We start from the raw sequence: 24,965 nt of genomic DNA, 5'->3' as shown, positions 1-24,965 counted from the left end.
AGAACTTTTCCATCACCCCCAAAAGAAATCTTGGGTCCAGACCCATTCCTACCTCAGCCCTAGTTTATAACTAATCTACTTTTTTCTCTGTAGATTGCTGTTCCAGAACATTTCGTATAAATGGACTCAAACAATATGTATTCTTTTGTGTCTAGCTTCTTTCACTGAGCATAATGTTTTTGAGGTTCATCAATGTAGCATGTAGAAGTACTATACTTACTACATTGCTATTGATTGATTGATTGATTGATTGATTGATTTTTTTTGAGACAAATTCCCACTCTATTGCCCAGGCTATAGTGCAGTGGCATGATCATAGCTCACTGCAGCCCCAGACTCCTGGGCTCAAGCCATCCTCCCATCTCAGCCCCCCAGGTAGCTGGGGCCACAGGTGCTCGCCACCACACTCAGCTAATTTAAAAAAATTTTTTGTAGAGATGGGGTCTCACAGTGTTACCCAGGCTGATATCAAACTCCTGGCTTCAAGGAATCTTCCTGCCTGGGCCTTACAAAGTGCTGGGATAGCAGGCATGAGCCACCTGCTCTCTCTCAGCCACTACACTGCTTTTTATTGCCAAACAGTATTGCATTGTGTGGTTATACTACTGCAGTATTTTAAAAACGAACCACAGACATCCTATGCTTTCATCACTAAATATTTAAAGGTATATCTCTTTTTAAAAAAATTATTTTTAAAAAATCCACAATATGGCCAGGTGAGGTGGTTCACGCTTGTAATCCCAGCACTTTGGGAGGCCAAGGCAGGTGGATCACTTGAGGTAAAGAGTTCAAGACCAGCCTGACCAACATGGTGAAACCCCGTCTCTACTAAAAATAATAATAATAATAATAAATTTTAAAAAGTACAAAAAAGCGGAGCGTGGTGGCACGTGCCTGTAGTCCCAGCTACTTGGCGGGGGTTGAGGCACAAGAAATTGCTTGCACCCAGGAGGTGGAGGTTGCAGTGAGCCAAGATCGCGCCACTGCACTCCAGCCTGGGTGACAGAGTGAGACTCTGTGTCAAAAAATAAATAAATAAATAATAAAATTCCACAATACAATTAGCATACCTTGATAAGTGAACAATCATGCCTTGATATCAAGTATCCAGGTAGTGCTACAGTCTCCCGAGTGTCTCATAATTGTTGTTTCCCAATTTGTTGCTGAAATCAGGTCTATAGAAGGAGGATACATTGCAATTGAGAAAACTGAAATTTTAAATAGAGTAATCAGGGAAGGCCCACAGAAGAAGGTGGCTTTTGAACAAAGACTTAAAGGAAGTGTGGGGATGAGCCATGAAGATATCTGGGGAAAGAACATTTAGGTAGAGGGAACAGTCATTGTAAAAGTACTGAGGTAGGAGGCTGCCTGGCATGGTTGAGGGACCATAAGGAAGCCACAAAATCTGATTATGATTATAATCAGAAATCGATCTTAAGTTAGGGCCAGACTGGGCCCACCTTCTGACCTGAATTCAAGACAGCTGGGGCCTCAACACCTCCTTGCAGCAAGAGAAAAGATTCTGTTTCTATCTCTTCCTAGCCCCCGAAGAGGAGTCCCCTGATGCTCCTCTTGCAAAGCTGCGCCTAGGGCAGATGACAGTGAGAGACATCACCTCCGACTCCCTCAGCCTCTCCTGGACAGTCCCCGAGGGCCAGTTTGACCATTTCTTGGTCCAGTTTAAGAATGGGGACGGGCAGCCCAAGGCGGTGCGGGTGCCGGGACACGAGGATGGGGTCACCATCTCGGGCCTGGAGCCAGACCACAAGTACAAGATGAACCTGTACGGCTTCCACGGTGGCCAGCGCGTGGGCCCCGTGTCTGCTGTTGGTTTAACTGGTGAGTGTGCAGTAGGGCACTGGGCCCTGCCCTGAACTAGACTCAGTTTCCCTTTTATTGTCAGTATCTGGTGGCTTTATTTTACTTTCCCTGAGACCAAGCCTCCCAAGCTCCTGGGAATGGTTCTGCTGGTGCCTTCACTCCGAGACTTTGGTATTGCCCCAGGTCTTCTGCCCGTTACACATGGGCTTTTTGGGTTCCCAAAGAGGTGGGGGACCAGGAAAATAACACAGACTGAGGCACACCTGGGGTTGACCATAGCTTCAGCCCATTTGAGCTGTGTGTCCTCAAGAGACTCACACAACCTGTCTGGGCACGGTGGCTCATGCCTGTAATCCCAGCACTTTGGGAGGCCGAAGGGGGCAGATCACTTGAGGTCAGGAGTTCGAGACCAGCCTGGCCAACATCATGAAACCCCCATCTCTACTAAAAATACAAAAATTAGCTGGGTGTGGTGGCACATGCCTGTAGTCCCAGCTACTCGGGAGGCTAAGGCGGGAGAATCGCTTGAACCCAGGAGGCGGAGGTTGCAGTGAGCCGAGATCGAGCCACTGCACTCCAGCCTGTGTGACAGAGTGAGACCCTGTCTCAAAAAAACAAAACAAGCAAACAAAAAACAGACACACGACCTCTCTGTACATCCTTTTCCTCATCTGTAAAGAAGGAATAACCATACCTGTCGTGAAGGGTGGGCGGGAGTGTGGCTTGGCTCTCACACACAATGAGAGATAACTGCAGTCTTTCCCTTCTGAGGAAGGTAGGTAGTTCCTGAAAACCGCTTAGGGCAAATTCTCATAATTATCACTGATTTCAGTGGGAAAAATTGTATGTGTTCTCTAAGCTCCCAAATTAATACCCATTTATTTTTAAAACAACACTGAATCCTGTTAACATGGATACTATTACTTTAATTGTAAATATTGGCCATGTGCACAACTTAATAAGGCATTTTCCTTTCATTACCCTGTAACTCGGCTCTTTGATGCTTTTGTAAGCTCTTTTATAGCTGTTACCCCCTAGATGCTTAAGACTCAGTTCTCAAAAAGAACAGACAAATGAAATGTGATGAATTTGTAATACCACTATCAAGGCAGAATAAAACCCTATGAAGAGCAGAAAAGATTAAAGAAATCAATGAAAACAAAGCAATTGATTTCACACGGGCCAAAAGAACTGGCATCACTGGAGGTGCTCTCTCTGCCGTAAGTTAGCAGAGCTACTGCAGGTCCAGAGACAACTCAGCTGCAAAGATGCCCTCATGTGGTCTCATCTCTCTACCCTCAGCTATAAAATCTAAGTTGGTTTCTAAAAATGCTCAGGATTAGGTGGAATTTCCAAGCCCAGGTGGATGAACCTCCTGATACAACTTGCCTGTTGTGTTTGGTTGGTGTTCTTTGTTTTCTTTTTTTTTTTTTTCTTTATGTTGAGATGGAGTCTCACTCTGTCACCCAGGCTCTCAGGCTGGAGTGCCGTGGTGCGATCTCAGCTCATTGCAACCTCTGCCTCCCAGGTCCAAGCAGTTCTCCTGCCTCAGCCTTCCGAGTAGCTGGGATTACAGGCATGCACCAGCACATCTGGCTAATTTTTGTATTTTTAGTACAGACAGGATTTCGCCATGTTGGCCAGGCTGGTCTCAAGCTCCTGACCTCAGGTGATCCTCCCGCCTCGGCCTCCCAAAGTGCTGGGATTACAGGCCTGAGCCACCACGCCTGGCCCTGATTGCTGTTTTTTGTTTGTTTGTTTGTTTTTGTTTGTTTGTTTTTTTCTTGAGAAGGAGTCTCGCTGTCTCCCAGGATGGAGTGCAGTGGCGTGATCTTGGCTCACCGCAAGCTCCGCCTCCTGGGTTCATGCCATTCTCCTGCCTCAGCCTCCTGAGTAGCTGGGACTACAGGTGCCCGCCAACACGCCTGGCTAATTTTTTGTATTTTTAGTAAAGACGGGGTTTCACAGTGTTAGCCAGGATGGTCTCAATCTCCTGACCTCATGATCCGCCCGCCTCGGCCTCCCAAAGTGCTGAGATTACAGGCCTGAGCCACCACACCCGGCCCTGGTTGGTGTTCTTATAAAGCATCAATTCTGTCCTGCAAAACAAATTTGCTTGGCAGCTCCTAAGGGTCCCAGGCCTGCACACTGAGCATCACAGGGATGCCACCTGAGCATCATGACTTCACCACAGGTGTGGTGTTAACTGAACATTCAAAGCAGAAAAATGATATTCTAAGCTTGGGGCACCAGCATCCAGACTGTGGGCCCTTGGTGTGTCTAAGAGAATCCCAGAGTCCCTTGGTTAAAAGGAGGCCCACCAGGCATGCCCACCCATTCTATTTTCTGATGCAGCCCCAGGAAAGGATGAAGAAATGGCCCCAGCCTCGACAGAACCTCCCACCCCTGAACCCCCCATCAAGCCTCGCCTGGAGGAGCTGACCGTGACAGATGCGACCCCTGACTCCCTCAGCCTGTCCTGGACGGTTCCCGAGGGACAGTTTGACCACTTCCTGGTCCAGTACAAGAATGGGGATGGGCAGCCCAAGGCAACACGGGTGCCAGGACATGAGGACAGGGTCACCATCTCCGGCCTGGAGCCAGACAACAAGTACAAGATGAACCTGTACGGCTTCCACGGTGGCCAGCGTGTGGGCCCCGTGTCTGCCATCGGGGTGACAGGTGAGTGGACGATGGGAGCCCCAGGGTGGGAGCCATGGGAGGGTCACCCTCTTGCTCTTTGGTGATGACTGGTGGGGAATGGGACGGGTCTGGTCAGCACCACAGACCTACTTGTGGCTGGGGCTGGGGCTCCCATTGTACCTTTTTGTGTGGTTGACCCCTGGCTCCCCCTGAGCAGGGAGGGGCCATTGGGAGTTTTGCTGTGCTGGTGGCTGTGCCAGGTCCCCCACAGCTGACCCTGGAATTTGTCATGTGTGTTAGCTGTCAGCTGAGCAGGACCCCAAGAATGGGCCTCTCTGAACTGACCTCAGGTCCCCTAGTCATAGCCTTGGCTATTTCATATGTCCCCTAGTCATAGCCTTCTCCCTCCTTTTCCCCACGACGTAAGCACATCCCCCAGGGACCCTGCCATCCTCTCTGTGTCCCTTTTTCTCAGCTGCAGAGGAAGAGACCCCCAGCCCCACAGAACCCAGCATGGAGGCCCCGGAGCCCCCTGAGGAGCCGCTCCTGGGGGAGCTAACAGTGACAGGATCCTCCCCTGACTCGCTGAGCCTCTCCTGGACCGTCCCCCAGGGCCGCTTCGACTCCTTCACCGTGCAGTACAAGGACAGGGACGGGCGGCCCCAGGTGGTGCGTGTTGGGGGCGAGGAGAGCGAGGTCACCGTGGGGGGCCTGGAGCCTGGGCGCAAATACAAGATGCACCTGTATGGCCTCCACGAGGGGCGGCGCGTGGGCCCGGTGTCCACCGTGGGCGTGACTGGTGAGTAGTGCTTGGAGTCTCGGGGTAACCACCTTTCCCTCATGGGTACCTGGTTTACTGCTGTGCCCTTTCACCAAGCCCTGTGGGTCCAGACTTGTCTCCTGTGTCCTGCCCTCCCTCTGTGCCCTGTGGCTGTGGCCTATGCTAGCGGTTTGCTTGTTCACTTTGGCGTGGCCTCCCTCTAATGGTCAACCACTGATAACCTCCAAGAGTGAAATATGTCAGGCGCACACCAAGCCTGACTTACGAGAATTTTCCTTTCTTTCCATCTTAATAACAGCATTCTTTGTTATAACCACATACACAAATGCACACAAGAGGAACAATCCAACGTCAAACCACGTTGGGATGACTAAATAATTTAGGCAACATCTATAAAAAGAGCTATTATGCCGCCACTGAAATGTTTTAACATAAGACCCTTACTTTATAATGTTACATTGAAAAAAGAGAGCCTAGGCTGGGCACAGTGGCTTACGCCTGTAATCCCAGCACTTTGGGAGGCCGAGGCGGGCTGATCGCCTGAGGTCAGGAGTTCCAGACCAGTCTAGCCAACATGGTGAAACCCCATCTCTACTAAAAATACAAAAATTAGCCAAGCATGGTGGCACATGCCTGTAATCCCAGTTACTTGGGAGGTGGAGGCACGAGAATTGCTTGAACCCGGGAGGCAGAGGTTGCAGTGAGCCGAGATCACCACTGCACTCCAGCCTGGCAGATACAGCCAAACTCAGTCTCAAAAAAGAAGAAAAAGGAGCCCAAATTTTTGTAAGGATGCTAATCACAACCATTTGAAAGTAACAGGCATGGCAAGAAGACTGGAAAGAAACACATCCCACGGGTTGCCTGATTTGTTAGATAGAATAGAATATTCCAGCACATTTTTTTCTGTATTATTCTATTCTGCATAGTCCAAATTTTCTTAAATGGCAAACATTTCTTTTACAATCAGGGAAAGGGAAAAGAGAAAATATATAATGTCTTCTCCTTCTTTACACTCCATCTGTCCTACTCCTCTATCGCTCTTGTGGCTTATTTCATTTATTTCCTTCTTTTTTTTTTTTGAGATGAAGTTTCGCTCTTGTCGCCCAGGCTGGAGTGCAATGGCATGATCTCGGCTCACTACAACCTCTGCCTCCTGGATTCAAGCGATTCTCCTGCCTCAGCCTCCCGAGTAGCTGGGATTACAGGCATGCGCCACCACATCTGGCTAATTTTGTATTTTTAGTAGAGAGGGAGTTTCTCCATGTTGGTCAGGCTGCTCAAACTCCTGACCTCAGGTGATCTGCCCGCCTCGGCCTCCCAAAGTGCTGGGATTACAGGCATGAGCCACCGCGCCCAGCCAGACTTATTTCATTTCTAATTATGAGGAAGTTCAAAATTTCTAGTCCATAAGAAATTGGAGGGGTGGAGATCATGAGGTTAATTGAATTCCAAATGCTCAGTCAGGCTGCCTTTTCTAAGTCATCCTCAGCCAGGTTGTTATGCCTGGCTTAGAGTATTTTTCGAGAATTCCTACCGATGGGGAAGAATCAGCCCTGCTGAGAGGCGGTCTCTTGCAGGGCAGGTCGCCACCTCTGTGGCACCAAGTGAGGTGCGAGCTCATCTCCCAAAGGCCATCCAGACAGAGGAAGCACTCTCAATCGGCATCCCCGATTCCTGGGGGAGAGGCCTCATTTCCATATGCATGTTCAGAGGACCATCTGAGTGTTGGGAAACAGGGGGAATAGGGAAATTATTGGAAAATGAACATTAGAAAAATTCACATTCCGGGGGTAAGCTGTCCTGGTCCACGTTCAGTTTTGTGTTCCTGTCTCCACTGTGGGGAACCACAGAACTGACAGAGGACAGGCTGAGGGACCCACCCCTGCCCCTCCTGTTCTATGTGTATTGCTGCCCCACCCCCACCCCACACTCTATTATTAATTGTTGTAGCCCAGAATTTCTTTCTTTCTTTTTCTTTTTTTTTTTTTTTTTTGAGACTGAGTCTCACTCTGTTGCCCAGGCTGGAGTGCAGTGGTGTGATCTCAGCTCACTGCAACCTCTGCCTCCCAGGTTCAAGTGATTGTCCTGCCTCAGCCTCCTGAGTAGCTGGGATTACAGGTGCATGCCACCACGCCTGGCTAATTTTTGTATTTTCAGTAGAGACCGGGTTTCATGATATTGGCCAAGCTAGACTCGAATTCCCAACCTCAGGTGATCCACCCGCCTCGGCCTCCCAAAATGCTAGGATTACAGGCGTGAACCACTGCTCCCAGCCCAGAATTTCTTTTTTAGCCCACGTTTTTCTAGTGAAAATAATACAGCAACATTATGTGGAAAGCTTGAAAAACAGAAAACAAGAATCTCATAGTCCTACTTTCTCCCCCAGCTGCCGGCATTAATAACAATGTGTGTAGTGCACATTCCCTTCCTGTATTTTGCATGCAGAGCGTGTTTTAAAGTTGCAATCAGTGTTCATAAAGTTCTTGGCACTTCCTTTTTTGTACACAAGTACATTGTAATCATTCACCTCACGGCTACACAACCAGCATTCATCATCGTTTCAATGGTTATTTGATGCGTTGCGGTGAAAGCACTATAACAAAATTAATCATCTTCTACGGGTCATTTGTGTTCCTGACACATCTGCTGTCATGAATAACCCCATCGTGAGTTCTTCCATGCTATAACTTTTTCCTGCTTTAATAATTTTCTTAGGACAGATGCCCAGAACTGGGATTATTGGGTCAAAGGAAATGAGAATTACTTTGGCTCCTGACACTATGTCTCAGTTGCCTTCTGGAGGTTTCTAACAGTGCAGCTCTGCCAGCAGTACAGGCCGGGGGCTCGGGGATACCTCACCGGCTCTTATTCCAAGAGTCACTGAACGGCGAACACAAAGCTGCCCCAGCCCTCAGCCTGCTCTGGAGGGGCACATTTGATGTATGACCTCTGTTGACAGCACCAGCAAAGCAAGTTGCCCTTAAACCCTTAAACTCTGTATCCCCCTATATTACCTTTCAGCCCCACAAGAGGATGTGGACGAGACCCCCAGCCCTACAGAACCAGGCACAGAGGCCCCAGGGCCCCCCGAGGAGCCTCTCCTGGGGGAGCTGACAGTGACAGGATCCTCCCCTGACTCGCTGAGCCTTTCCTGGACCGTCCCCCAGGGCCGCTTTGACTCCTTCACCGTGCAGTACAAGGACAGGGACGGGCGGCCCCAGGCGGTGCGTGTTGGGGGCCAGGAGAGCAAGGTCACTGTGAGGGGCCTGGAGCCTGGGCGCAAGTACAAGATGCACCTGTACGGCCTCCACGAGGGGCGGCGCCTGGGCCCGGTGTCTGCCGTGGGCGTCACAGGTGAGTGAGTGTGGGTGGGGCAGGGTTGGAAGACAGCCCTAGAAAATGTGCCCTTCTCTACCATTTTCCTATACATATTTCTGTCTTGATGGGGCTCACAGTGAAAGGAATATAGCAACATTATGGAAAGACATGTCATGGAGAGACAGGCTGCAATCCAGCAAATGAAGCAAAGGCGGGTGAGCATGTGATAGGGAGGCCCAGGGCTCAGGTCAGGACCAGACAGGGACGCCTAAGTCACCCTGCCCATGGGTACCCAGGGGACAGCCAGGACCTGAGGCCAGGCATGCCTTAGCTTGGTGACAGCTTTAGAGAGAAGGTGAAGTGTGTCAGATAATCACAGCTGGTGCAAAGGCCAGGAGGCTAGAAAGAGCATGGCACGTGAGAGGCACTGAGGATTGAGTGGGGTGTCCTTTACGGTGAGTATCTCATCCTGAAGTGTGGGAGCAGAGGAGGGGACCACTCACCAGGCCTGGGGTCTCCCAGGGATGAGGATGTGGTTGCCCAGGTCTGTGCTGAGATGGCCCCAGCAGCTGTGCCTGTGTGAAGCTCATCCGTGGGGGCTGAAGATGGGGATGGGGTGGCAGGGAGCCTGGAGGCAGCGAGGCCAGTAGGCAGTTGGTGGCCCTGGTGAGAGGTGACAGTGGCTCAAACTAGGATCGGGGACTGGAGGTGGGGTAGGAAGGTATCCAGGGGAATTCAGGGTAAAGATGCTCTGAGGCTGCTGGCAGCTGGTGAGGAGCTGGATCCAGGAACACACCCCAGGCTCTGGCCTCGGGAGGAGTGTGCTGAGCTTGTTGCGGAGCAAAGACAGAAGCCCAGTGAACAAAAGATGGCGAAGAGACCCCAGTGCTGGGAGGCCAGGGGTGCAGAGGCCGAGTGGGGCTGTGCTCAAAAGAGAGGCGGTGCTGGAGGGACAGGGAGAGGTGGCCTGGGTGTTGGGAGGTGGGGGTGAGGTGGGGGCTGAGGGCAGGAGGGTCAGGGTGAGGGATAGGAAAGGCCACAGGAGAGGAGAGGATGAAGAGCTGTGCTGGAGGGGCTGTGGGCAGCATCGTCCTGCTCTTGGGCACTTTGTGTTTTGTGACACATCCTTTCTATGCTGAACTGAGGAGCCAGGGACCTCACTGTCCCCACACGTGTCTGTCCAACTCCAGAGGATGAAGCCGAGACCACCCAAGCAGTGCCTACCATGACCCCTGAGCCCCCCATCAAGCCTCGCCTGGGGGAGCTGACCATGACAGATGCCACCCCTGACTCCCTCAGCCTGTCCTGGACGGTTCCCGAGGGCCAGTTTGACCACTTCCTGGTCCAGTACAGGAATGGGGATGGGCAGCCCAAGGCGGTGCGGGTGCCGGGGCACGAGGACGGGGTCACCATCTCAGGCCTGGAGCCAGACCATAAATACAAGATGAACCTGTACGGCTTCCACGGTGGCCAGCGCGTGGGCCCCATCTCTGTCATTGGGGTGACGGGTGAGTGGATGATGGCAGCCCCAGGGTGGGAGCCGTGGGAGGGTCACCCTCTTGCTCTTTGGTGATGACTGGTGGGGAATGGGCCAGGGGTCCGGTCAGCACCACAGACCTGCTTGTGGCTGGGGCTCCCCTTGGGCCTTCCTCTGAGGCTGACCCCTGGCTCCTCCTGAGCAGGGAGGGGCCATCAGGAGTTCTGCTGTGCTGGTGACTGTCCCAGGTCCCCCACAGCTGACCCTGGAACTTGTCATGTGTGTTAGCTGTCAGTTGAGCAGGACCACCCAGCCCCAAGAATGGGCTTTTCTGAAATGACCTCACATACCCAGTAGTGGCCATGGTTTCTCCCTCCTTCCCTTGAAGACCTGAGCACATCCCCCAGGCACCTGGCATCCTCTCTATATCTCCTTTTCTCAGCTGCAGAGGAAGAGACCCCCAGCCCCACGGAACTCAGCACTGAGGCCCCGGAGCCCCCTGAGGAGCCGCTCCTGGGGGAGCTGACAGTGACAGGATCCTCCCCTGACTCGCTGAGCCTCTCCTGGACCATCCCCCAGGGCCACTTCGACTCCTTCACCGTGCAGTACAAGGACAGGGACGGGCGGCCCCAGGTGATGCGTGTCAGGGGCGAGGAGAGCGAGGTCACCGTGGGGGGCCTGGAGCCCGGGCGCAAATACAAGATGCACCTGTACGGCCTCCACGAGGGGCGGCGTGTGGGCCCGGTGTCCACCGTGGGTGTGACAGGTGAGTGTTTGTGAGTGAGGAAGATGGCCCTAGAAGATGTTGCTTTCTCTGCAACTTCATGAAAACAAAAATATTCTCACCAGCCGGGCTTCTTTTGCACGTTTCCATGCTTGGGGATCTTGCTAAGAGGCAGATTGGGGTTCAACAGGTTTGGGCTAGGGCCAGAGATTCTGCATTTCCAACAAGAAATGATGCGGATGCTGCTGGCCCATGATCACGCCCCTTGAGTAGCAAAGTTCTTCACGACAAAGGAATTGGACCCTCTTTTGAAATCTGTTGAAGAGAATTTTTCTGCGTCCCTGATTCCTGGTAGTGTGCTTTCTCTGTGGAGTTGACTAGGGGCCGTGAAGGAAGACAGAAGGCAGTGAGGGGCAGCGCGTCGACTGCACACTCTGGAAGCCCACTATTGGAATAGGAATAGGAACAGACCTTTCTCACCAATGGGCCAATTTGTTCATTCAGCAAAGAATTCCTTGCCCTGATCCGGACACTGTAATTTTAGGGTATCAATGTCCTCTGGCCAACGACCTCCAGAAACTCACCTAAAATTGAATGGATGGAATTATGCTCCATGCAGTGCAGGAGGACTGTGGGGTGACTTAGGAAGAGGCTTTAGAAAGAGATTGTTAAGGAACTGGGCTTGTGTTTGGTGTTTTAGGAAAGCATTTAAGGAAGCAAGGTTTTGCTCTTTATTAGACGCTGTCAGGAAGAAGGGATAACCCTATTACCGGGCGTCTCACTAAGTCTTATCTTTGGGGAGGTCAACTAGAGCAAGGCCAAAGCTGCCATTGGTAAAGAAGCAGCTATCACTCAGATTAGCTGGATGGGTGATGTTTGGTTATTTTTGTGCTTTGGAAAATGTTAGAGTTCATCCTTACTGAGACATGATCACAGACTGGCCTTGTTCTTGTCTTGATCCATCCTACTGACAAATGGCCTAGTCTGATGTTGATGTTCCATGAAATTGTCTGTTCAACTGGACCACGCCAAGACCAGACTGTGCCAGGCCAGCCCCAAGCAGCCGTGGCCTGGCAGAGGGAAAGGGCAGCTCACGGGTGTCAGGGCTGCCTTTTTCTTTCATAGGCGGAAGCTGGAAAGTGACACACACAAGTTCATGTTTTCATGGGGCTCACAATTGTGGGCACAAGCAGAAAACCGGAAAGTAAGCAAAGAAGGATGAGCATGTGGAGCCCAGGAGCCAAGCCAGGATTGGGAAGGGACAGTGAAGTCACTCTGCCCACAAGTACCCAGGGGACAGCCAGGACCTGAGGCCAGGCAGGCCTTAGCTTGATGACAGCTTTGGAGAGGAAGTGAAGCATGTCAAATCATCACAGCTAGTGCAAAGGCCAGGAGGCTAGAAAGAGCATGGTGTGTGAGAGACACTGAGGATTGAGTGGGGTGTCCTTTGCAGTTGGTGGATCATCCTGAAGTGTGGGAGCAGAGGAGGGGACCACTCACCAGGCCTGGGGTCTCCCAGGGATGAGGATGTGGTTGCCCAGGTCTGTGCTGAGATGGCCCCAGCAGCTGTGCCTGTGTGAAGTTCATCCGTGGGAGCTAAAGATGGGGATGGGGTGGCAGGGAGCCTGGAGGCAGGGAGGCCAGTAGGCAGTTGGTGGCCCTGGTGAGAGGTGACAGTGGCTCAAACTAGGATTGGGGACTGGAGGTGGGGGAGGAAGGTATCCAGGGAAACTCGGGGGAGAGGTACTCTGAGGCTGCTGGCAGCTGGTGAGGGGCTGGGTCCAGGAACACACCCCAAGCTCTGGCCTCGGGAGGAGTGTGCTGAGCTTGTTGCGGAGCAAAGACAGAAGCCCAGTGAACAAAAGATGGCGAGGAGACACCAGTGCAGGGAGGCTAAGGGTGCAGAGGCCGAGTGGGGCTGTGCTCAAAAGAGAGGCGGTGCTGGAGGGACAGGGAGAGGTGGCCTGGGTGTTGGGAGGTGGGGGTGAGGTGGGGGCTGAGGGCAGGGGGGTCAGGGTGAGGGATAGGAAAGGCCGCAGGAGAGGAGAGGATGAAGAGCTGTGCTGGAGGCGCTGTGGGCAGCATCGTCCTGCTCTTGGGCACTTTGTGTTTTGTGACACATCCTTTCTATGCTGAACTGAGAACCCAGGGACCTCACTCTCCCCACACGTGTCTGTCCAGCTCCAGAGGATGAAGCAGAGACCACCCAAGCAGTGCCCACCACAACCCCTGAGCCCCCCAACAAGCCTCGCCTCGGGGAGCTGACCGTGACAGATGCCACCCCTGACTCCCTCAGCCTGTCCTGGATGGTCCCCGAGGGCCAGTTTGACCACTTCCTGGTCCAGTACAGGAATGGGGATGGGCAGCCCAAGGTGGTGCGGGTGCCGGGGCACGAGGACGGGGTCACCATCTCAGGCCTGGAGCCAGACCACAAGTACAAGATGAACCTGTACGGCTTCCACGGTGGCCAGCGCGTGGGCCCCATCTCTGTCATTGGGGTGACAGGTGAGTGTACGATGGGAGCCCCAGAGTGGGGCCTGTGGGAGGGTCTCCCTTTCTCTGGTGATGGGTGAACTGGCCCAGGAAGCCCCTCTGCTCTTGGCTGAGCCATGGTACTTTTTTGTCTTTCCCCACTTCCCTGAGGACTGACAGATCTTCCTGGGTGGAGAAGGGCCCTGTGAGCTCTGTTGGTGGCTGTCCCAAGTTCCCCAGCACTGACCTCAGAGCTTGTCATGTGTGTTGACTGTAAACTGAGCAAGACCACCCAGCTCCAAAGATGGGCCTCTCCAAGCTGACCCCAGGACCCCCACTCATGGCCACAGCTTCGCTCTCCTTCCTCACAAGACCCAAGGACATCCCCCAGGGAAGCTGCCTCACCTTCTCTGTCCCCTCTTCTCAGCTGCAGAGGAAGAAACTCCCGCCCCCACAGAACCCAGCACGGAGGCCCCGGAGCCCCCTGAGGAGCCGCTCCTGGGGGAGCTGACAGTGACAGGATCCTCCCCTGACTCGCTGAGCCTCTCCTGGACCATCCCCCAGGGCCGCTTCGACTCCTTCACTGTGCAGTACAAGGACAGGGACGGGCGGCCCCAGGTGGTGCGTGTCAGGGGCGAGGAGAGCGAGGTCACCGTGGGGGGCCTGGAGCCCGGGTGCAAATACAAGATGCACCTGTACGGCCTCCACGAGGGGCAGCGCGTGGGCCCAGTGTCCGCTGTGGGTGTGACAGGTGAGTAAGTGTGAGTGAGGCGAGGTGGGGAAGATGGCCCTGGAAGACACTGCTGTCTCTCCAGTCTTCGTGAAAACATACTCTGAAGAGTATTCCTTCCTTTGTGTATCCAAATGCCTGGAGATTTTTGTTAAAAAGCAGATTTGGATTCAGCAGGCTTGGCCTAGGGCAAGAGACCATGCATTTCTTTCTTTTTCTTTCTTTCTTTTTTTTTTTTTTGAGATAGAGTCTCGCTTTGTCACCCAGGCTGGAGTACAGTGGCTCAATCTCGGCTCACTGGAACCTCCGCCTCCTGGGTTCAAGTGATTCTCCTACCTCAGCCTCCTGAGTAACTGGGACTACAGGCGTGCGCCACCACGCCCAGCTAATTTTTTCATATTTTTAGTAGAGATGGGTTTCACCGTGTTAGCCAGGATGGTCTCAATCTCCTGACCTCGTGATCTGCCCTCCTCGGCCTCCCAAAGTGCTGGGATCATAGGCGTGAGCCACGGCGCCCAGCCGACCATCCATTTCTAACAAGATTCTCATCTATCTTGATGCCACTGGTCCAAGGAACACACTTTTTTTGTTGTTTTTTATTGTAGTAAAGTACACTTGACATAATTCGCCATTCTAATCGCTTTCTAGTTTGCAGTCCAGCATGAAGTCCACTCACATTGCTGTGGACTGTCACCCTCCACTTCCAGAACTCCTCTTCCCACACTGAAACTTCCTACCCACTAGACACGAACTCCCATTCTCCCCTTGCCCCAGCCCCTGGCAACACCATTCTACTCTCTGTCTCTATGAATTTGACTCTAGGTACCTCATATAAGTGCAATCATACAATATTTGTCTTTTTTGAATGGTTCATTTCATTAAATACAATGTCTTTAAGGTTCATCTATGTCGTAGCATCAGTCAGAATTTCCTTTTTATTTTATTTTCTGTGGCAATGGGGGTCTCGGTATGTTGCCCAGGCTGGTCTCAAACTCCTGGCCTCAAGCGAGTCTCCCACCTTGACCTCCCAAAGTGCTGGGATTATAGGCAAGAGCCACTGCACCTGGCCAGAACTTCCTTCCTTTTCAGGCTGAATAATGTTTCGTTTTACACATACAGACCACACTTTGCTCATCCTTTCATCCATTGATGGACATCTGGGTTGCTTCCACCTCTTAGCTATCAAGAATAATGCTGCTATGAATATTTGTGTGCAAATCACAGAACACCTTTGTAGCAAAGCTCCTCCCAGTAACAGATTTGGAAACTCTCTTAGAATTTGTTGAAGCGAATTTTTCTTGCATTCATGAATCCTCACAGAGGTTAGGCTCAGAGTTAGGGTTCCTGTCCTAATGGGAAAAGTTCCTGTCCTAATGGGGCTAACGTCATGGGGGACAGGCTGTGGACCAGTAAGAAAGCAAAGGCGGGTGAGCATGTGACAAGAAGCCCAGAGCCAGGCAGGAATACCTAAACCACCCTACCTGTGGATACTCAGGGGACAGTCAGGATCTGAGGCCAGGCAGGCCTTAGCTTGGTGACAGCTTTAGAGAGAAGGTGAAGCGTGTCAGATCAGCACAGGTGGTGCAAAGGCCAGGAGGCTAGAAAGAGCATGGTGTGTGAGAAGTACTGAGGATTGAGTGGGGTGTCCTTTGCAGTGAATAGATAGTCCTGAAGTGTGGGAGCAGAGGAGGCCTGGGGTCTCCCAGGGATGAGGATGTGATTGCCCAGGTCTGTGCTGAGATGGCCCCAGCAGCTGTGCCTGTGTGAAGCTCATCTGTGGGGGCTAAAGATGGGGATGGGGTGGCAGGGAGCCTAGAGGCAGGGAAGCCAATAGGCAGTTGGTGGCCCTGGTGAGAGGTGACAGTGGCTCAAACTAGGATCGGGGACTGGAGGTTGGGGAGGAAGGTATCCAGGGAAACTCGGGGGAGAGGTAACTCTGAGGCTGCTGGCAGCTGGTGAGGGGCTGGGTCCAGGAACACACCCCAGGCTCTGGCCTCGGGAGGAGTGTGCTGAGCTTGTTGCAGAGCAAAGACAGAAGCCCAGTGAACAAAAGATGGCGAGGAGACCCCAGTGCAGGGAGGGTAAGGGTGCAGAGGCCAAGTGGAGCTGTGCTCAAAAGAGAGGCGGTGCTGGAGGGACAGGGAGAGGTGGCCTGGGTGTTGGGAGGTGGGGGTGAGGTGGGGGCCGAGGGCAGGGGGGTCAGGGTGAGGGATAGGAAAGGCCGCAGGGGAGGAGAGGATGAAGAGCTGTGCTGGAGGCGCTGTGGGCAGCATCGTCCTGTTCTTGGGCACTTTGTGTTTTGTGACACATCCTTTCTATGCTGAACTGAGAACCCAGGGTCCTCACTGTCCCCACACGTGTCTGTCCAGCTCCAAAGGATGAAGCCGAGACCACCCAAGCAGTGCCTACCATGACCCCTGAGCCCCCCATCAAGCCTCGCCTGGGGGAGCTGACCGTGACAGATGCCACCCCCGACTCCCTCAGCCTGTCCTGGATGGTTCCCGAGGGCCAGTTTGACCACTTCCTGGTCCAGTACAGGAATGGGGATGGGCAGCCCAAGGCGGTGCGGGTGCCGGGGCACGAGGACGGGGTCACCATCTCAGGCCTGGAGCCAGACCATAAATACAAGATGAACCTGTACGGCTTCCACGGTGGCCAGCGCGTAGGCCCTGTGTCTGCCATTGGGGTGACGGGTGAGTGAATGATGGGAGCCCCAGGGTGGGAGCTGTGGGAGGGCCACCTCTTGCTCTTTGGTGATGACTGGTGGGGAATGGGACAGGGGTCTGGTCAGCACCACAGAACTGCTTGTGGCTGGGGCTGGGACTCCCCTTGGGCCTTCCTATGTGGTTGACCCCTGGCTCCCCCTGAGCAGGGAGGGGCCATCAGGAGTTTTGCTGTGCTGGTGGCTGTGCCAGGTCCCCCACAGCTGACCCTGGAACTTGTTACGTGTGTTAGCTGTCAGCTGAGCAGGACCACCCAGCCCCAAGAATGGACTTCTCTGAAATGACCTCAGGTCCCCCAGTCATAGCCTTGGCTTCTCCCTCCTTTTCCCCAGGACCCAAGGACATCCCCCTCACTCTCTCTCCCTCCTTCTCCACTGCAGAGGAAGAGACCCCCAGCCCCACAGAACCCAGCACTGAGGCCCCGGAGGCCCCTGAGGAGCCGCTCCTGGGGGAGTTGACAGTGACAGGATCCTCCCCTGACTCGCTGAGCCTCTCCTGGACCGTCCCCCAGGGCCGCTTCGACTCCTTCACCGTGCAGTACAAGGACAGGGACGGGCAGCCCCAGGTGGTGCGTGTCAGGGGCGAGGAGAGCGAGGTCACCGTGGGGGGCCTGGAGCCCGGGCGCAAATACAAGATGCATCTGTACGGCCTCCACGAGGGGCAGCGCGTGGGCCCAGTGTCCACCGTGGGCATCACGGGTGAGTGGGGGGACAGGCCCTCGTCCCCAGGTTTACCTCTGCAGCCCCCTTGTGTTTCTCCTTTGGATCTTGGCACCTCTTTTGACTGGGCCTCTAGGTTTCTGTCTTTTCTCCCATGTTGCTAATGATCCTGCCTCATCCTTGGATTCATGGAGACTGTGTGGAGTCAGATGGGCAGGTAGTCCATGCCCTGTTTGTTGTAGCTTCCTTCTCCCATTGTGATCTGGAACCTCCATGTTGCTCGTGTGCTCATTTGTTAGTCTTCAGGCTCCCTTAAGGAGTATTTTAGTGGCTCAGAAAGTGCTTCAGATCCAGCTGCCCAGATCTGCATGTGCCTTCGAATGTAGTGATTGTGCGACTTTGCAGGCGTTTCCTAACCTTGTGCTTCAGATTCCTGCAAAGTTGGGGTGATGATAATAATGGCACCCACTTCATATGTTGTGCGAGGGTTAAATGCACCACTGTTTGTGAGCTGCTTACAGCAATGCAGGGCACAGATTCTAAAACAAGCGTTTTAGAGGAGGCCGCTAAGAAATGCTCACTCCAGTCCTGGGAGAGCACTGCCTCCCTTGCGCAGGGTCCTGCCTCCTGACCCATGGGCCTGCTCTGCTCTTTTCAGCGCCCCTGCCCACACCACTGCCGGTGGAGCCCCGCCTGGGGGAGCTGGCGGTGGCGGCCGTGACCTCGGACTCAGTGGGCCTCTCATGGACGGTGGCCCAGGGCCCCTTTGACTCCTTCCTGGTACAGTACAGGGACGCGCAGGGGCAGCCCCAGGCAGTGCCTGTGAGCGGAGACCTCCGAGCGGTCGCCGTCTCGGGGCTGGACCCGGCCCGCAAGTACAAGTTCCTGCTCTTTGGACTCCAGAATGGGAAACGCCACGGCCCAGTCCCTGTGGAGGCCAGGACCGGTGAGTGAGGGCTGGAGGCCTCCCGCGGCCAGAGCCTTCGCCCCCTTGTGGCACCTGTTGGAATTTCACGTTCTGTGCCCCACACTCCAGTCCTCAGCACCCACTGATTTATTGGGTCCAGGAAAACCCAGGCCCTGAGCTCTCCTCTCCCACTCACACTCATCCCTCTCCCTACTTTCCCTGCACCCCAGGGGACACTTGCTTTCTTGTCTGGCTCCTCTTTTATTCCTACTCCTGGCCCAGTCACCCTCCCGTTCCTGGGACCGGCTCACAGAGCCATAGCAGCCCAGGAAGCTCCGTGGCCCCTTTGCCTCCATCCCACTCTCCATGCACCTCACTGTCTTTTCCAGCCCCAGACACCAAACCGTCTCCCCGCCTGGGGGAGCTGACTGTGACAGATGCGACCCCTGACTCCGTGGGCCTCTCGTGGACGGTCCCTGAGGGCGAATTCGACTCCTTCGTGGTCCAGTACAAGGATAAGGATGGTCGGCTCCAGGTGGTGCCGGTGGCAGCCAACCAGCGGGAGGTCACAGTCCAGGGCCTGGAGCCCAGTAGGAAATACAGGTTCCTGCTCTATGGTCTGTCAGGCAGGAAACGACTGGGCCCCATCTCTGCTGACAGCACCACAGGTGAGTCCCAGTCCAGCCTCCACCTTTTCCAGAGCTGCCTCTCATCCGAGCCCTCAGAGCTGGCCCTGCAGCCTTCCCGTGAGATTCCCTCTATCAGCCCTGACACAACCATCTTAACTCCGAAAGTGAGTCCCTCTGTGTGTCAGGCACAGTTCTGAAGCATATGCATTACTTCCTTTCATTCGCTGACTGCTGAGGAAATAAAAGGGACACGGGCTTTGGGGCCAGCAGATCTGTGTTCCAGTTCCAGTCCTAGCCTTTGCCAGGGTGACCATGGACAAGCCGCTTCATCCCCGGGACCTCAGTGTCCTCACCTGCATAATGCTGGGAATGGCGCTGGACTCAGTAGTGGTTCCCATCCTCCTCCCTCCTCCCTGACTCGGAGCCGAGGGGTGGAAGAAAAGGGAGGGCTTGGCTATGGAAAGACGATGGAAAAACCTGGTGTCACTATGCCTATGACTCAGCTCCCTGAGGAAGGGGTGTGGTGGGTCACCGACCCTCACCCCACTCCCAGGACCATGAGTCACTATGCCCAGAGGAGGACAGAGCAGCCGGCCAGTCTGGGCCTGGGTCCCTGGGACTCCGTAATTCTCTTCCCAAACCCTCACTGTGGGGACGGGGTACAGATCCCCACCCATCGGCCCCAGCCCCACCCGGGCAAGCCTCTGCTCTGCCCTCTGTTCTCCCAGCTAATCCCCTGTCTTCTCCCTGCCCCACCCTGGCTGCCCCGGCCCAGTGGGGTCAGTGTGGGGCTGGGGAAGCAGGAGGCACGGATGTTCAGGCTGATGGCCACAAGGGGACAAGGGGGAGATCACAGCCTGGCAGTGATGGGAGCCGTGCATTGGCCGGCTGCCCAGACCAGCTCTCGATGTTTGGGGTGTCTCCGTGACAACCCAGAGACCTCCGGGGAGTCTCTCTCAGCTCTGGCCTCATTCTTGCTCAGGGGCTGGGGGTCAGGGTAAACAAAGGCCCTCTCTGCACCCCCAGCCACCCATCCCTCGGGAGATGATCTGTAATGAATTTGGCGCATCCTCGATCACAGCAGGGAAGGGGCGGGGCAGGAAGGAGTTTGGGCAGCAGCCTCCAGAGGAGGAGGGGGCTGTTCTCCCTCATTCCTGTGGGGCATGGCGGGAGCAGGCCTGTGTGTCTCCTCAAGGAGCTGTCCCTGGGGCTACACTGGAGGGACCATTTCCCAGAACCTCACACCTCCGGGAGGCTGCCAGGGCTTAGGCAAAGGCAGCATGTGACTAAGAGCTTTCCCTCCTCCCTCTGCACAGCTCCCCTGGAGAAGGAGCTACCTCCCCACCTGGGGGAACTGACCGTGGCTGAGGAGACCTCCAGCTCTCTGCGCCTGTCCTGGACGGTAGCCCAGGGCCCCTTTGACTCCTTCGTGGTCCAGTACAGGGACACGGACGGGCAGCCCAGGGCAGTGCCTGTGGCCGCAGACCAGCGCACAGTCACCGTAGAGGACCTGGAGCCTGGCAAGAAATACAAGTTTCTGCTCTACGGGCTCCTTGGGGGAAAGCGCCTGGGCCCGGTCTCTGCCCTGGGAATGACAGGTGAGGCTGCTGTGCCTGGCTATAGCAAGCCAGCTTGTGTGGGTTTCCTTGTGCATTTGGGCTGAAGACAAAGATGACTGCAGGAGTGGGCAGGCCGGAGTGGGGCGCCCTGGCCTGTCCCCAGGAAGGAGGAGGAGTCTGCAGCCCTGTGGGCTTCAACATCCATCAAGGAGTCCAGAGCAGGAGCCAGGCCAGGCGGGAGGGAAAGGCCCTGGGAGGGGCTCTCTAATCTCCCAGCCCCGACTCTGCCCCGTCACTGCCACTGCTCCTCATTACTCGCTGGGGCTGCTGTCGCCTCCCCGAAGGGTGGCCTTGTCCAGATAGCGGCAAACCTCCCTGCCGTGGATGAGTCAGGAGCATTTTCTTAAGAGGAACATCACTGGAAAACAAAATGAGCGGGGACACAGAAACCAACAGCAGTGGCTGCATTTGTGGTACAGGCTCCTCTTCCAGAGCTCGCTGATGCCCACCTCAGACAGGCCTGACCACGGCACGGCTGGTGGGATTTGCCAGTCACCTCAACCAGCCAGTTCCACCCTCAGCTTCTCTCAGAAGGGAGCACCACACTCCTCAAGCTCAGTGAATGTATCCCGGCATGGGTGGGGCCAGAGCCTGTGATATCTCGAGGTGGGCTCGGCAGGACACCGGGGTGTGGAAGGGGGAAGCGAGCACCTGACTCAGACAGCGCGGGAGCTCGCAGGAGTCACGAGGCCACAGCGACTTCATTGTCTGACTGGGCCTGGACCTATAAACTTCCCACCTCAGCCTTGGGCCAAGCCTGGAAGATAAAAATGGAGCACCCCATGGCGCCCCTCACTCAGATTCTCCCCTGGGCTTCTCCCACGCAGCCCCAGAAGAGGACACACCAGCCCCAGAGTTAGCCCCAGAGGCCCCTGAGCCTCCTGAAGAGCCCCGCCTAGGAGTGCTGACCGTGACCGACACAACCCCAGACTCCATGCGCCTCTCGTGGAGCGTGGCCCAGGGCCCCTTTGATTCCTTCGTGGTCCAGTATGAGGACACGAACGGGCAGCCCCAGGCCTTGCTCGTGGACGGCGACCAGAGCAAGATCCTCATCTCAGGCCTGGAGCCCAGCACCCCCTACAGGTTCCTCCTCTATGGCCTCCATGAAGGGAAGCGCCTGGGGCCCCTCTCAGCTGAGGGCACCACAGGTACCACCAGGCGTCTCCGGCCTCTAGCCTAGGACTCAGAAGGGAGAAACGGGGGCTCAGAAGGGGTGGTCGCAGGGAAAGAGCGTGAGGCGGGTACCAGGGAGAGAGGATGGATGGGCTGGATGCGAGTGGCCTTTAGCTCTGCCCCACAGGACCCCCCTGTGGCTGCAAGTCCCTGGTTACAGATAGAGAAACGGGGGCAGGGAGGGGGGTGGAAGGGACGTGCTCTGGGTCACCAAGCTGGTGTGCTTCTGTCTCCAATCCCTTCTCCCCCACCCACTCCGTGCAGGGCTGGCTCCTGCTGGTCAGACCTCAGAGGAGTCAAGGCCCCGCCTGTCCCAGCTGTCTGTGACTGACGTGACCACCAGTTCACTGAGGCTCAACTGGGAGGCCCCACCGGGGGCCTTCGACTCCTTCCTGCTCCGCTTTGGGGTTCCATCACCAAGCACTCTGGAGCCGCATCCGCGTCCACTGCTGCAGCGCGAGCTGATGGTGCCGGGGACGCGGCACTCGGCCGTGCTCCGGGACCTGCGTTCCGGGACTCTGTACAGCCTGACACTGTATGGGCTGCGAGGACCCCACAAGGCCGACAGCATCCAGGGAACCGCCCGCACCCTCAGCCCAGGTAAGGACCCACACACACTCTGCCCCAAAGTGGGGGTCTTTGTACTTCACGGGGGGGACCTAGTGCCTCAGCCAGCGGTGGGGGTGGGCGAGTTGGTGGTGGGCCTGGAGGAATCTGCAGAGCGACTTCCATTCCTGGGGACTAGAGGAAAAGGGGTGGTGAGCCTGTGCTGGAGCAGAGGCGAGGGGGGGACTCGTAGGGAGAAGCCTCCCTGCCCCTGCCTGCGTCATTGTTCCTTGACCCCTCTGCAGTTCTGGAGAGCCCCCGTGACCTCCAATTCAGTGAAATCAGGGAGACCTCAGCCAAGGTCAACTGGATGCCCCCACCATCCCGGGCGGACAGCTTCAAAGTCTCCTACCAGCTGGCGGACGGAGGTGGTGCCTTTGCCATGTGCTCATCGCCTCGCATTTCCTCTCCCCCCTGCACTCTGCCCACCCTCCAGCTGCCCTGGGGTTCCCTGGGTAACCCTCGATCCCCAATGTTTTCAGGGGAGCCTCAGAGTGTGCAGGTGGATGGCCAGGCCCGGACCCAGAAACTCCAGGGGCTGATCCCAGGCGCTCGCTATGAGGTGACCGTGGTCTCGGTCCGAGGCTTTGAGGAGAGTGAGCCTCTCACAGGCTTCCTCACCACGGGTGAGATGGACTGGGACCCGGGGCAAGAGGTGGGAGCCAAGAAAACGGCATGGGTGGGAGTTGAGAGAGAACGAGGAGGGTGAAAGGGAGGTGGTGGAGGCTCCGATTGCGGACGGGAGGCCAGTGGAGTCTGGGGAGGCACGGAGTAGAGAGAGCCGCGGGGACCCTTCTGAGCCCCTCCCCTTCCCCCAGTTCCTGACGGTCCCACACAGTTGCGTGCACTGAACTTGACCGAGGGATTCGCCGTGCTGCACTGGAAGCCCCCCCAGAATCCTGTGGACACCTATGACGTCCAGGTCACAGCCCCTGGGGGTGAGCAGGCCTGAGGCCTCTGGAGGGGACTTGTTCAGGGTGGGGATTGCAGGGGGGAGGCTGGACTCTGGCCGAGGATGGAGGGGGCAGGCCTTGATGCCCCTCTCTACACTCCCAGCCCCGCCTCTGCAGGCGGAGACCCCAGGCAGCGCGGTGGACTACCCCCTGCATGACCTTGTCCTCCACACCAACTACACCGCCACAGTGCGTGGCCTGCGGGGCCCCAACCTCACTTCCCCAGCCAGCATCACCTTCACCACAGGTAGGGTCTGTGGGGTGTGTGGGACAGGGAGAGGAGGTAGAGGGAGCCAGGTTGGGCCTCATCCCCATCTCCTCTTCCTGCTTTCCCTCCTAGGGCTAGAGGCCCCTCGGGACTTGGAGGCCAAGGAAGTGACCCCCCGCACCGCCCTGCTCACTTGGACTGAGCCCCCAGTCCGGCCCGCAGGCTACCTGCTCAGCTTCCACACCCCTGGTGGACAGAACCAGGTGCCCCGGCCCCACTGACCCAACTCCCCTCCCTGGGTGATTCCAGGAGGTGCTGCCTCTGGCCCTCCCGGAGGGTCTCCACCTCCCTCTCCCCTGACCCCCCCTTGTCTGTCCCACAGGAGATCCTGCTCCCAGGAGGGATCACATCTCACCAGCTCCTTGGCCTCTTTCCCTCCACCTCCTACAATGCACGGCTCCAGGCCATGTGGGGCCAGAGCCTCCTGCCGCCCGTGTCCACCTCTTTCACCACGGGTACCTGGACGCACGGGCCCGGGGCCGGGGGCTGGGTGGGCAGCCAGGGCCTAAGGCTTGGAAAAGGACTGGCCCCTGCTCTCCTCTCCCAGGTGGGCTGCGGATCCCCTTCCCCAGGGACTGCGGGGAGGAGATGCAGAACGGAGCCGGTGCCTCCAGGACCAGCACCATCTTCCTCAACGGCAACCGCGAGCGGCCCCTGAACGTGTTTTGCGACATGGAGACTGATGGGGGCGGCTGGCTGGTGGGTGGCATTGGGAAGCCCAGGGGTCTGTGCAGGGCAGGGTCTGTTGCCCCGGGAGCCAGAGGCTGATGGTGCCCCCACTTGCTTCCCAGGTGTTCCAGCGCCGCATGGATGGACAGACAGACTTCTGGAGGGACTGGGAGGACTATGCCCATGGTTTTGGGAACATCTCTGGAGAGTTCTGGCTGGGTCAGTGCCTCACAGGGACTGGGGAACTACGGATGGGGATGGGGGCCCTGTGGACACCAGGACCCTGATGAGGGCACGTATCCCACCCCCAGGCAATGAGGCCCTGCACAGCCTGACACAGGCAGGTGACTACTCCATGCGCGTGGACCTGCGGGCTGGGGACGAGGCTGTGTTCGCCCAGTACGACTCCTTCCACGTAGACTCGGCTGCGGAGTACTACCGCCTCCACTTGGAGGGCTACCACGGCACCGCAGGTAAGCAGAGGCTGTGAGGCTGGGAGGGTGAGGCTGGGAGGGGAGGCCCTCATGGCTCCTTCCTCCACCCTGCCCAGGGGACTCCATGAGCTACCACAGCGGCAGTGTCTTCTCTGCCCGTGATCGGGACCCCAACAGCTTGCTCATCTCCTGCGCTGTCTCCTACCGAGGGGCCTGGTGGTACAGGAACTGCCACTACGCCAACCTCAACGGGCTCTACGGGAGCACAGTGGACCATCAGGTGAGGGGTGGGGAGGCGGCTCAGAGCTGGGGTGGCTGGGGCTCGGCCTGCCTAGGTTTCAGCCCCACAGTGTAAC

General features: G+C 56.0%; 1 protein-coding gene across 4 annotated transcripts in view, besides 11 other annotated features; it reads left to right on the top strand.

Moving 5' to 3' along the window:
* Positions 1-24,965, top strand: part of TNXB (tenascin XB) — a 68,186-nt gene that overhangs the window by 42,679 nt on the left and 542 nt on the right. For 2 of the 4 annotated variants that reach the window (NM_001365276.2, NM_001428335.1), the window contains 25 exons: positions 1,543-1,839; positions 4,177-4,503; positions 4,940-5,263; positions 8,270-8,602; positions 9,757-10,074; positions 10,486-10,809; positions 12,949-13,272; positions 13,667-13,990; positions 16,339-16,662; positions 17,073-17,390; positions 18,010-18,297; positions 18,648-18,926; positions 20,204-20,485; positions 21,334-21,654; positions 21,944-22,279; positions 22,531-22,653; positions 22,768-22,911; positions 23,104-23,223; positions 23,342-23,485; positions 23,579-23,709; positions 23,829-23,961; positions 24,054-24,205; positions 24,298-24,394; positions 24,487-24,648; positions 24,726-24,889. In NM_001365276.2, coding sequence (NP_001352205.1) covers positions 1,543-1,839; positions 4,177-4,503; positions 4,940-5,263; positions 8,270-8,602; positions 9,757-10,074; positions 10,486-10,809; positions 12,949-13,272; positions 13,667-13,990; positions 16,339-16,662; positions 17,073-17,390; positions 18,010-18,297; positions 18,648-18,926; positions 20,204-20,485; positions 21,334-21,654; positions 21,944-22,279; positions 22,531-22,653; positions 22,768-22,911; positions 23,104-23,223; positions 23,342-23,485; positions 23,579-23,709; positions 23,829-23,961; positions 24,054-24,205; positions 24,298-24,394; positions 24,487-24,648; positions 24,726-24,889 — 6,089 coding nt within the window. Of the gene's footprint in view, positions 1-1,542; positions 1,840-4,176; positions 4,504-4,939; positions 5,264-8,269; positions 8,603-9,756; positions 10,075-10,485; positions 10,810-12,948; positions 13,273-13,666; positions 13,991-16,338; positions 16,663-17,072; positions 17,391-18,009; positions 18,298-18,647; positions 18,927-20,203; positions 20,486-20,531; positions 21,655-21,943; positions 22,280-22,530; positions 22,654-22,767; positions 22,912-23,103; positions 23,224-23,341; positions 23,486-23,578; positions 23,710-23,828; positions 23,962-24,053; positions 24,206-24,297; positions 24,395-24,486; positions 24,649-24,725; positions 24,890-24,965 lie in introns of those variants that run through there. The other 2 variants (NM_019105.8, NM_032470.4) reach the window with 2 other exon arrangements.
* Positions 18,051-18,684: an enhancer, noted in NCBI's record as "H3K27ac-H3K4me1 hESC enhancer chr6:32015753-32016386 (GRCh37/hg19 assembly coordinates)". NCBI's record gives its function as "activates a minimal SCP1, AML or CMV promoter by ChIP-STARR-seq in naive H9 embryonic stem cells {active_cell/tissue: H9 hESC(naive)}" and the evidence as "EXISTENCE:reporter gene assay evidence [ECO:0000049][PMID:30033119]".
* Positions 18,874-20,073: an enhancer, noted in NCBI's record as "P300/CBP strongly-dependent group 1 enhancer chr6:32014364-32015563 (GRCh37/hg19 assembly coordinates)". NCBI's record gives its function as "activates an origin of replication core promoter dependent on BRD2, BRD4, P300/CBP, MED14 and CDK7 cofactors, with strong dependence on P300/CBP, by STARR-seq in HCT116 cells {active_cell/tissue: HCT116}" and the evidence as "EXISTENCE:reporter gene assay evidence [ECO:0000049][PMID:35650434]".
* Positions 20,487-20,738: a silencer, noted in NCBI's record as "fragment chr6:32013699-32013950 (GRCh37/hg19 assembly coordinates)". NCBI's record gives its function as "represses an EF-1alpha promoter that drives an FKBP-Casp9 reporter gene in an ReSE screen in HepG2 liver carcinoma cells {active_cell/tissue: HepG2}" and the evidence as "EXISTENCE:reporter gene assay evidence [ECO:0000049][PMID:32094911]".
* Positions 20,538-20,810: a non allelic homologous recombination region, noted in NCBI's record as "sub-region TNXA/TNXB-3', recombines with sub-region TNXA/TNXB-3 within the tenascin XA (pseudogene) recombination region". NCBI's record gives the evidence for it as "EXISTENCE:restriction fragment detection evidence [ECO:0001124][PMID:12354783]".
* Positions 20,538-24,965: part of a biological region, named in NCBI's record as "tenascin XB recombination region", that runs on past the window's edge. NCBI's record gives its function as "recombination_partner: LOC106780804".
* Positions 20,810-22,759: a non allelic homologous recombination region, noted in NCBI's record as "sub-region TNXA/TNXB-2', recombines with sub-region TNXA/TNXB-2 within the tenascin XA (pseudogene) recombination region". NCBI's record gives the evidence for it as "EXISTENCE:nucleotide sequencing assay evidence [ECO:0000219][PMID:10207042]" and "EXISTENCE:restriction fragment detection evidence [ECO:0001124][PMID:10207042]".
* Positions 22,029-23,569: a meiotic recombination region, noted in NCBI's record as "meiotic double-strand break mapped by DNA meiotic recombinase 1 chromatin immunoprecipitation followed by single-stranded DNA enrichment and sequencing in the germ cells of some male individuals with PRDM9 AA, PRDM9 AB, and PRDM9 AC genotypes". NCBI's record gives the evidence for it as "EXISTENCE:chromatin immunoprecipitation-seq evidence [ECO:0000229][PMID:25395542]".
* Positions 22,457-22,469: a nucleotide motif, noted in NCBI's record as "nucleotide motif; similarity to the predicted 13-mer PRDM9 A binding motif (LD hotspot motif), CCNCCNTNNCCNC".
* Positions 22,486-22,501: a nucleotide motif, noted in NCBI's record as "nucleotide motif; similarity to the predicted 16-mer PRDM9 C-type binding motif, CCNCNNTNNNCNTNNC".
* Positions 22,541-22,553: a nucleotide motif, noted in NCBI's record as "nucleotide motif; similarity to the predicted 13-mer PRDM9 A binding motif (LD hotspot motif), CCNCCNTNNCCNC".
* Positions 24,803-24,965: part of a non allelic homologous recombination region, noted in NCBI's record as "sub-region TNXA/TNXB-1', recombines with sub-region TNXA/TNXB-1 within the tenascin XA (pseudogene) recombination region", that runs on past the window's edge. NCBI's record gives the evidence for it as "EXISTENCE:restriction fragment detection evidence [ECO:0001124][PMID:15081125]".

This window comes from Homo sapiens, chromosome 6 (genome assembly GCF_000001405.40).
Source record: "Homo sapiens chromosome 6, GRCh38.p14 Primary Assembly".
In the NCBI taxonomy this organism is placed as follows: Eukaryota; Metazoa; Chordata; class Mammalia; order Primates; family Hominidae; genus Homo; species Homo sapiens.
The sequence above is the reverse complement of the archived record's forward strand: the minus strand, read 5'-3'. Positions and strand labels throughout refer to the sequence as shown.